Raw genomic sequence first — 10,776 nt, 5'->3', positions numbered from 1 at the left:
TAAGGAAGCTTAGGGATGCTGAAAGATTGGACTTTGAAGGGTAGAAGTAGGTGCTCTATAAATGTGTTTTTTTTTAATTGATGAAGGACAACTTTATTATTTTACACTTAAAAGCTGATGAAAAACCATTACTTATCCTATTAAAGAAAATCTAATATTTCAATTGAAAATAGAGTATACTCATGAAATATTATTTAAGTTTTCTAAAACACAACTTGAAAGCATCCAGCATGCATGATTAATTTCAGTACAGTGAATTCAAGGTCAAGTATACATGTTACATACATCAAAGCTAGATTACAAATTATCGTCCTCATCATCATCATTATCATCTTCTTCATGTTTTTTTTTCCATTGGCAGTAGTTTGTGATGACACCATATTAGTGTAATAAGAATGCCTCTGGACCATTCGTGATGGATTAACCAGAACATTCTGAATTGCTGATGTTACAGGAATTCACGCTTCACAGGGCAATGTGAAGCAGACATCTACACTGTAAACCTTTGCCTTGTGAGGGACATTTGAGTCCTTACTTTAGTTGCCACAAACATGGTTTGGGGGGTGGTGTGCCTAGTGTGTGAACACCTGGTCGGCTAGTAACTGAACCAACATTTAATCTGGGTGAGACAGAAATAATGCAGGGTGTTCACAGGAGAATAAAAACTCCAGACAGCAGTTTCCCATGAGTAGGGGTTATGGGCTGATGAACCCCTGAAAAACAGGGTGTGCACCAAGCTGGCTAAGACCAACTAGACCCAAAGTGGTGCTGGATTTGACCTAGGTTTCACCTAGGACCTCATTATATGCTCATTAACACACTAAATCACACCCACCAGCGCAATGACAGTTCTGGGAACACCCATATTTGGTGTAAAAACGAGTGGCACCACAGTTCCAAGAAATCTCCATCTTTTTCCAAGAATTGTCATAAATATTCCACCCCTTGGTTGAAGAAACCCATACAGAGAGAAACCGCACACCCCACTGTGTGACTCTCTTGAGTACGCCCGCAATCCCCTTTCTTAAGTGTGTACTTTTTCCCTTTGCAACAAATCTCCATACTTTCACTATTTTCCAACTCATCCTTGAATCCATTCTCAAGACGGTGTCAAGAGTCTGGACACCTGCGGGGGTCCAGGACCCACCGGCATTTGAGGACCTCCCCTGGCCCACTGATATCATGGGGACTGTTATTCTTCCCTCAGACGTAGATGCCTTTTTCTGTAAAGACTTAAGCCTGTATGTATGAGACAGAAGTTTGGCAGGACTGATTTCACAAGATAGAGGTCACAAAGACCCCCACTGATAAAACAGATGCAGTAAAGAGGGTGGCCCAAACCCACCAAAACCAAGAGGGCACCCCATAGGGGGCCACTCAGCGTTCCCTTTCCTGGCACACCAGGGTTGGAAAAACCACTCCAGGCAAAGAACCCGGATCAAGATTGAGACTGAAATCCACTAGTGGATGACCTCTGGTCATCCTCACTGCTCATTACAGGCTAATTATAATGATTTAGCTGCCGAAAGACACTCCCCCTGAGTGCCATGACGGTTTACAAATGCTATGGCAACCCGGGGAACTTATTACCCTACATGGTCTAAAAGGAGGAGGAACCCTCAGTTCCAGAAAATCCCCAGGGCCTTCTTGTAAAACTCATGAATAATCCATCCTCTATCTAGCATATGATCAAGAAATAACGGTAAAAATAGCCCATCTGCAGCCCTCCAGGCTGCTCTGCCTGTGGAGTAGCCACTCTTATTCCTTTACTTTCTTAATAAACTTGCTCTCATTTTACTCTATGGGGCTGCTCTCGAATTCCTTCCTGCTCCAAGCCAGGTGGCCTCTGTGGCTGTACCCTAGTTTTGGGGTTTTCCCTGCAACATATAGTTTGGAGCTGTTAAGCAATATCTATTGGGTGGCATTCTAGGACTTGAATACGGCTTGATCAAAGGCGAAGGGGTTTGATTTCTTTGCCTTGCAATATCTAATAAAAATCTCTTGGGGCGGAGAGGTAAAAAAAAACTGGTCGGCGCACACTGGATTGCAATTGCACACCAGTAGCTTTCTTAGCATGGCTTGAGTAAATTTTTGCATCATCCAGAACTGTGGTCACATAGGGGAAGGCAAACTCCAACATGTGATTTATACGTCTTGGCTCATATTCTTTGATCCCCACGACCCTCAGGACCTGCGCCATCCTCGGGGGATGCCTCAGGGCACATCTTCCTGGGGAGAAGCCCTGATCAGAGTTGCGGGGCTTTGTCACCTACATTAATGGATTCCAGTCCCGATCTTGATGCAAGTTCTTTGCTTACTGTGGTTTTTCTAACCCTTGGTGTACCTCGAAACAGAAATGAGCGGCCCCACAAGCGGTACCCCCTGCCCTGAGCTCTGGGCCCCTGGTCTGCCCCACGGCCCATCCCCTCCTGGGGAGCAGATGTTCCTAAATAATCGTTGAATAAATTAAAGAATGTTGAATTGAATGTGGCAATTACATGAGTTAGCAACATTTCTAAATATCTTTTTTTTCCCTCGGCTAAAGATGATTGTTCCTTAAGCTACGCATTTGTCTTTACAGTGTTTCAAGGCCTCATAAACCTATAATAAAATTGACGTCATAATCACGACACATTCAACACAGATGTGAGCGTTTGGAGAGAGCTTCAGCCTTCAGCACAGGCAACTGTGTTCTATTCACCGGGCTGTGCTCCTCGGAAGGGCTGGTGGTTCCTGTAAAAGTTTGTGCTCCCCGCGCCTTTCCTTCCTTCCCTCGTCTTTGGCGCCTGCGGGCACCGGGAGTCCTGGGAGAGGGAGGAGGAACGGCGAATCGGCGGGGCGTGTCCTTCACGCCGCCCCGTAGCTCGGGGCCGAAGCTGGCGCAGCGCGCGACTTTTTGAAAGCCAGGAGGGTTCGAATTGCAACGGCAGCTGCCGGGCGTATGTGTTGGTGCTAGAGGCAGCTGCAGGGTCTCGCTGGGGGCCGCTCGGGACCAATTTTGAAGAGGTACTTGGCCACGACTTATTTTCACCTCCGACCTTTCCTTCCAGGCGGTGAGACTCTGGTAAGAGGAGCTTTTTTTTTGCGAGCCCTGGCGGGGGCCGAGCCCGGAGCCGAGGCCTCTGCGGGGGCTTTCGTGACAGGGGAGGATCTGGTTACAGCCAAAGAAGGATTTTGGCAGCCAGCCCCTTGTGAGCCCCTGGATTGGGGTAAACAGTCTGACCTCCACCCCCGAACCCTGCTGAGCGTGTGAGATGCAGAGGACCTGAGAGTCATGCGGCCCACACTTTCTCTTTGCTTCCCCTTGGAGTTTCTACATCTACTTTGTTTCTCTTTTCTCCTTTACTTTTTCTCTCATTCTTTTAATTTTCCGTTTTCTGCTGCCCGTCCGCGTCGTAGCTTTGTCAGTAGTGTCCAGGTATTTGTTGAGTCCCAGGGTCCCAGGCTTAGGGCCCAAAGGTCACTGACGTTTGACCCGGTAAATCTGTAGATTAGCTTGCTTGAGCGCTGCTCACTTTAATGCTGCCTCTTAAACAGTACTTGATTGTTAAAAATATCTTACGTATTCCACAGAGTATGAAATTCTGCTCACGGTCATCCTACTGCCATTTCTAATTTATCTTCATCTAAATATTCACTGTTTTTTTTGCTGTCATCTTCATGAGAACCTTGTGATTTAGAATTAGTATGGTTATTTAACAATTAATGTTAAGAATGCATATACAATACATAACATAATCTGAAGCAGAGTCTGGGCTACTGGCCAAAAGCTATCTGTCAGCAGTTAATGCCTAAACCTGAGTGTGCAGTCTGGAAAAAAGTGGCCCTCAGACAACTGTGAAATGGATAGGACATGGTACATTGAGGTGCAAATAGCTTAGAGTAGAAGGTGGGACTCAGTCGTAAGAGAACATAATGAAATGTTACGACTTCTGTTTAAACCTAGTTGTTTTTAGAGATAGGTTTTCTTTTTTAAAACGTGCTGCTTCTGAATATCAAATCCTCCGTAGAGTGAGCGGGAAAAGGCAGTGAGACTCATAAGGCTCATCATAAGATTTCCAGGACACTCTACGCGCCAGGGTTTTCTGCATCCTACTTTGTTGGCACCTCCTTGGTTGCTTTGTTTTTCATTTCTCATGCTTGGATGCCCTAGGGCTCACCCCTCTTCTCTCTACAGTTACTCCCTAGATGATCTTACCTAGTCTCTTGGCTTTAATAACGTCTGCGTGCTGCCATCCCACAAACTTAAATCTTCAGCTTGCATTCTAGATCCGTATCCACCCACCTATTTGACTCCTCCACAAAACTCTCCAACAGCTTTCTGTTTCTCAGTACAAGCTGAAATCTTGACTGTGACTACAGTTGAGTAGAAGTCACAGTCCTGTGGCTACAATGCTCTACTTGACTTGCCAGTCCCTACCCTCAGCCTCCCTGACTTTGTCTCATTCTCCCCCTTGCTAGCTCGCCTCTTCGTGAAGATTTCTGCCTCAGGTCTTTGTATTTCTTGTCCTCTCTCTGGAAGACTTTCACTAGATACTTGCTTGGGCCTGCTCCCTCACTTCCTTCAAATGAGTTTCTCAAGGAGACCTTTCTTGACCACTTTAAACTCAAATATTAAGCCCCTTCCCAAGGCCTTCTGCTCCCTTCACTGATATATATTTCCCCTGAAATAGTATATGTTTATCTTCATACTTGTTTGGGTCTTGTTTGCTGCTCTATTTCCAGAGTGTAGAACAGTGCACTGTTAGAGCACATGGTATGTGCTCGAACAGTGCACTGTTAGAGCACATTGTATGTGCTCAGTGTGTGCATATTGACTGAGTGAATGAAGAGTAGCTTCACATAGGTAGATAGAAATCTTAGAAGAAGCTGGATGTGGTGGCTCACGCCTGTAATCCCAGCACTCTGGGAGGCCAAGGCGGGTGGATCACCTAAGGTCACGTTTGAGGCCAGCCTGACCAATATGGTGAAACCCCATCTCTACTAAATACAAAAAATTAGCCGGGCATGGTGGCACATGCCTATAATCCCAGCTACTTGGGAGGCTGAGGCAGGAGAATTGCTTGAACCTGGGAGGCAGAGGTTGCAGTGAGCCGAGATTGCACCATTGCACCCCAGCCTGGGCAACAAGAGCAAAACTCTGTCTCAAAAAAAAAAAAAAATCTTAGAAGATCTCTGAGGTGCCACATCACAGCATCCCATGGGGAAAGATAACACAGATGGAAGAAGGGGAGTCAGAATGACATGGGGAAATTATTTCCGAAGTAGAAATACCTCCTGCAACCCACTCTGCTAAATAGTTTATCCTTTCCCAAAGTTCTGAAACTGGTTTCAGAAATTCTGCTGTTCCTACCGTCAAGTTAAATGGGTCACTTCATAAAATTATTATACTCTTGACAAACACATGTAAAGGGGCTCTTCGGTGTTCTCAGGACAGGTAAATCTGAAGACAATAGTGATTGTAGCTACATTTTAAACAAGATGAACAAGCTTGTCATTAATAGTTAAAGCTGGGCCTTTGAGATGATTTTCTTCCCCTTAGTACAGTTTTTAAAGATGCTATTATTAAGGGCTCTATAAAAAATTTAAGCAAATCTGTCTGCCTCCCAACTTTTTATAGACAAATGAGCTTATAGACATGTAGGAACAGTTTTGCTTTATAATAAATAAATCTAATAGGAAACCTAATTTTTTAAAAAGAAATATAATTTTTAAAATAAAAAAATTCTTAAATATGTTACGAAGAAGTAAACACATTGAGTTGCTTTGTTTATATATGTGGTATGTACATTTTCTTTTCTTCCGTTCTTTTTTTTTTTTGAGATGGAATCTTGCTCTTTTGCCCAGGCTGGAGTGCAGTGGCACGATCTCTGCTCACTGCAACCTCCGCCTCCCAGGTTCAAGCGATTCTTCTGCCTCAGCCTCCTGAGTAGCTGGAATGACAGGTACACGCCACCACACCTGGCTAATTTTTTTGTATTTTTAGTAGAGACGAGGTTTCGCCATGTTGGCCAGGCTGGTCTTGAACTCCTGATGTCAACTGATCCGCCTGCCTTGGCCTCCCAAAGTGCTGAGATTACAGGCGTGAGCCACCATACCCGGCCTCATTTTATTTTCATAGACAATTTTTATAACCATTTATTGAGATAATTAATGTATCATAAAAATCCACCTTTTGAAAGTGTAAAATTCAATAGTTTCTAGTATACTCAGAGATGAATATATTAAACCATTATCTGGTTTTAGAACCTTTTCTTCACCCCAGAAAGAAATCCCATACCCACTGGCAGTCATTCTGCATTCTTTGTCTCCCAGTCCTTAGTAACTATTCAGCTATTTTTGTCTCCATGATTTGCCTATTCTGGACATTTCCTAAAAATGGGATCATTGGACGGGCACGGTGGCTTATGCCTGTAATCCCAGCACTTTGGGAGGCCCAGGCGGGCATTATCACAAGGTCGGGAGTTCGTGACCAGCCTGGCCAATATGGTGAAACACCGTCTCTACCAAAAATATAAAAATTAGCCAGGTGTGGTGGTGGGCGCTGGTAGTCCCAGCTACTCAGGAGGCTAAGGCAGGAGAATTGCTTGAACCTGGGAGGCAGAGGTTGCAGTGAGTCGAGATCATGCCACTGCACTCCAGCCTGGGCGACAGAGTGAGACTCCATCTAAAAAAAAAAAAAAAAAAGGATCATCATATATGTAGCCTTTATGTGTCTGGCTTCTTTCATTTAGTATAATGTTTTCAAGGTTCATTCTTGTATATATCAGCACTTTATTCCTTTTTATGACTGAATAATATTCCATTGTATAGATATGCCACATTTTGTTTATCCATTCATCATCTGATGCAGAGTTCTGTTGTTTCTGCCTTTTGGCTGTTATGAATAATGCTGCTTGAACAGTTTCCTTAAAGGATATAAGAGAGCTGTTAACAACTGCTCCTGGGAAGTATAACAGGGAGACATACTGTTTACTTTTTTGTACTAGGTGATTTTTTTTTTAGCTAAGTGCATATATTACTTTATAATGAAAACAAAAATACCCAATCACTAATATTATGATGGGGGTAAGTAATTGTACTTTTTGGTTTTAGTTTCCTCATTTTAAGTAAAATTGGGCTAAATGTTTGTTGAGGTCCTTTTTAGCTCTCAAATTTTGTTTGTGATAACGTGAACGATAATGTTATAGGCTTTTTTTTTTTTTTGAGACGGAGTTTTGCTCTTGTTGCCCAGGCTGGAGTGCAATGGCACGATCTCGGCTCACCGCAACCTCTGCCTCCCAGGTTCAAGCGATTCTCCTGCCTCAGCCTCCCAAGCAGCTGGGATTACACGCATGCGCCACCACGCCTGGCTGATTTTGTATTTTTAGTAGAGACGGGGTTTCTCCATATTGGTCGGGCTGGTCTCGAACTCCCGACCTCAGGTGATCCACCGACCTCAGGTGATCCACCCACCTCAGCCTCCCAAAGTGCTGGGATTACAGGCATGATCCACTGCGCCTGGCTATTGGCATTTTTCTTCATGAATGAGAGTTGTATTCTTTATATCTGCTGTGTAACTTGCAATTTGTTTTCATCGTAGGACTGAGAGTGGCTTTCACAATGGAAGGGATCAGTAATTTCAAGACACCAAGCAAATTATCAGAAAAAAAGAAATCTGGTAAGATAGCAGATGTAAGATTTTTTTTTTTACTATTGTTGTTTCTCTTAGAAATGTCCTAGTATTATTTAGTTTGATCCTTTATTATCGGTCACTTAGAAACTTTAATGTAACTCCCCTTTATGATGTTAATCTTAACAAATAAGACTTATTTTATAGGCCACGGTTTGATCATCTCTGGACTAATTTTATTGACAATCTAACAGGTTTGGAGGCTCTCCCTGCCCAAGAATCAACTTAGCTTGACCCATTAAGGAACTGCTTTACCTTTCTCCCTCTCATCCATACATTGCTCTTGTGAGGGAAAGATATTTTCCAAGGCAACTCAATGGACAAAGGAAAATCTTTTCAACAAACACCTAGATATCCACGTGCAAAAAATAAGCCTTGACCCTTAACTCCTATTATATAAAAAATAGCTACAATTAAATTTCTAGAAAATAACATGAGAAAATATTCTGTTGTCCATTTCTAGTGACAGATTTTTCATATTGACCTTGTATCCTGCAACCGTCCTAAACTCACTTATTCTATTAGCTTTTTAATAGATTGCTTGGGATGTTGTATATGGTTGGTCATTTGTGGATGAAGAAAGACAGTTTTACTTTGTTCCCCAGTCTGTATGGCTTTGTTTCTTTTACTTTTTTTAATTGCACTGGCTCCAGTATGTTTTTGAATAGAAATGTTAGTGGATATACTTGCCTTGTTCCCAATGTATTATGTTAGATGTAGGTTTTTCACAAATACCCTTTATTAGTTTGAGGAATTTTTCTTCTATTTCTAGTTATTATCGTGAGTGGGTATTGAACTTTGTAGAGAGCTTTTTCTGAATCTATTAAATTTTCTTTTAAAATCTCTCAATGTGGTAAATTATGTTAATTTTCAAGTGTTAAACTGAACTTCCTTGTGTAAAGCCAGTTTGGTCATGATATATTTTATATATTGCTTGATTTGCTGATATTGTCTATATTCATGAGGGATATTGGACTGCAGTTGTCTTTTTGGGATATCTGTCTAGTTTTAATATTAGGTTATTCTGTATTCATAAAGATGAGAAATGTTTCTCTTTTTTTAATAGAAATATCTTTTTCTTTAACTTTGTGTAGAATTGGTATTATTCCTCCTTAAATTGGTGGAATTCACTAGTAAAGCTATCTGGGCCTGGAGTTTTCTTAGTAGGAAGAGTTTAACTGTGATTTCACAGTTAATAGATATAGGGCTATTCAAGTGATCTCTTATTTTCTTTGTGAATTTTGTTAGTGTTTTTTAAGGAATTTGTCCATCACTTCTAAATTTTCAAATGTACTGGTGTGAAGTTATTCTTGATACACCCTTATTAACCTTCTAGTGTCCTTTTTCATATCTGGTACTAGTATTGTATATTTTCTTAATTTTTTTCCTTAATCAGTCTGACTTGAGGTTTATGTATGTTGGTGAATGTTGCATGCACTTGAAAAGGGCATTTTTTTCTACTCTTACTGGGTACGGTGTTCTACAAATGTCAATGTTCTACAAATGTCAATGATATTCTGTATACTTTTTATATTAATTATGAGAGAAGAGAGTTGAAGTTTCCAACTACAATGTGGATTTGTCTGCTTCCCCCCACCCCCAATTTCTATCAGTTGTTGCTTCATGTATTTTGAAGCTTTGTTATTAGGTACATACACATTTAGGATGGTTATTTCTTTTCTTTTTCTTGTTTTTTTGAGTTTCCTTTTGTCACCCGTAATGGAGTACAACAGTGTGATCTCGGCTCACTGCAACCTCTACCTCCTGGGCTCAAGTGATTCTGGTGCCTTGGCCTCTGGAGTAGCTGGGATTACAGGCGTGCACCACCATGGCCGGCTAATTTTTGTATTTTCAGTAGAGACAGGTTTTCGCCATGTTGGGCAGGCTGGTCTCAAACTCCTGGCCTCAAGTGATCCACTCTCCTTGGCCTCCCTTTCAAGTGCATGCAACATTCACCAAGACACATAAACCACAAGTCAGATCCCAAAGTGTTGGGATTACCATGCCTGGCCTAGGATGGTTATTTCTTTTGATGAATTTATACCTTAACTGTTACGAAATACCCTTCTTAATCCTCAGTGGTACTCTTTGTTCTGGAGTCCACTTTATGTGATAGTAATGGAGCCACTCCAGATTTATTTTGATTTGTGTTTTAATGATGTTTTTCAACCCTTTACTCTTGCCCTATTTGCGTCTTTATATTTAAATTGAGTTTATTATAAATGGCATGTCTCGTCTTGTTTTTATCCGTTCTGACAACTTTAATTTCCTTTAACTGGACTGTTTTGCCATTAGCTACATGTGGCTATTTAAATTTGGTTATTTAAATTTGGATTATTAAATGTGGTTATTTAAATTTGGATACAAATTAATTAGAATTAAATAAAATTACAAATTGAGTTCCTCAGTTGTATTAGTCACATTTTAAGTGCTCAGCGCTCAGACAGCACAGATATAGACATTTCCACATGGCAGCATGATGTATTGGACAGCTCTGTTTAGACCATTTATACTCAATGTAATTGTCTATTGTTGGATGTAAATCGGCTGTTTTGCTATTGTCCCATAGCTCATTGATGATTTTTTTCTAACCTTTTTCTCTCTTTGCTTCATTTTTGATAGTTTTTGTTGCTCTGTCTTAAGATTTAGTTATTCTTCTGCTCTAAGATGATGTTATTCTTATCCATTGTATTTTTCATTCCTAAGCTTCTATTTTGTCTTTTTTTTTCCGTTATGCTCAGATTTTCCTTTGTATCATTGAGCACATTTTTAAGATTTGTCTTAAGGTTCTTATCTGCTAATTTTGCCATTCCTGTCATTTTTTTTTTTTTTTTTTTTCTTGAGACAGAATCTTGCTCTGTCACCCAGGCCGGAGTGCAATGGTGCGATCTCAGCTCACTGCAACCTCCACCTCCTGGGTTCAAGCAATTATCCTGCCTCAGCCTCCCGAGTAGTCGGGATTACAGGCACGTGCTACCACGCCCAGCTAATTTTTGTATTTTTAGTAGAGACAGGGTTTCGCCATGTTGGCCAGGCTGGTCTTGAACTCCTGGCCTCAAGTGATCCACCTGCCTCAGCCTCCCAAAGTGCTGGGATTACAGGCG

General features: G+C 41.5%; 1 protein-coding gene and 1 pseudogene across 3 annotated transcripts in view, besides 2 other annotated features; one reads left to right on the top strand and one right to left on the bottom strand.

The window, feature by feature from the left end:
- On the bottom strand, positions 304-2,219 carry LOC100130612 (TAF9 RNA polymerase II, TATA box binding protein (TBP)-associated factor, 32kDa pseudogene; annotated as a pseudogene).
- Positions 2,610-2,659: an enhancer, noted in NCBI's record as "active region_27158". NCBI's record gives its function as "activates an Ori minimal core promoter by ATAC-STARR-seq in GM12878 lymphoblastoid cells {active_cell/tissue: GM12878}" and the evidence as "EXISTENCE:reporter gene assay evidence [ECO:0000049][PMID:35858748]".
- Positions 2,730-2,789: an enhancer, noted in NCBI's record as "active region_27157". NCBI's record gives its function as "activates an Ori minimal core promoter by ATAC-STARR-seq in GM12878 lymphoblastoid cells {active_cell/tissue: GM12878}" and the evidence as "EXISTENCE:reporter gene assay evidence [ECO:0000049][PMID:35858748]".
- PBK (PDZ binding kinase) overlaps positions 2,899-10,776 on the top strand; it is a 28,194-nt gene continuing 20,316 nt past the window's right edge. For 2 of the 3 annotated variants that reach the window (NM_001363040.2, NM_001278945.2), the window contains exons 1-2: positions 2,899-3,006; positions 7,583-7,660. In NM_001363040.2, the coding sequence (NP_001349969.1) occupies positions 7,603-7,660 (58 nt within the window). In that variant the 5' untranslated portion in view covers positions 2,899-3,006; positions 7,583-7,602. Of the gene's footprint in view, positions 3,065-7,582; positions 7,661-10,776 lie in introns of all 3 variants that reach the window. The other variant, NM_018492.4, reaches the window with a different exon arrangement.

The sequence above is a fragment of the Homo sapiens genome, chromosome 8 (assembly GCF_000001405.40).
Source record: "Homo sapiens chromosome 8, GRCh38.p14 Primary Assembly".
Lineage (NCBI taxonomy): Eukaryota > Metazoa > Chordata > Mammalia > Primates > Hominidae > Homo > Homo sapiens.
The sequence above is the reverse complement of the archived record's forward strand: the minus strand, read 5'-3'. Positions and strand labels throughout refer to the sequence as shown.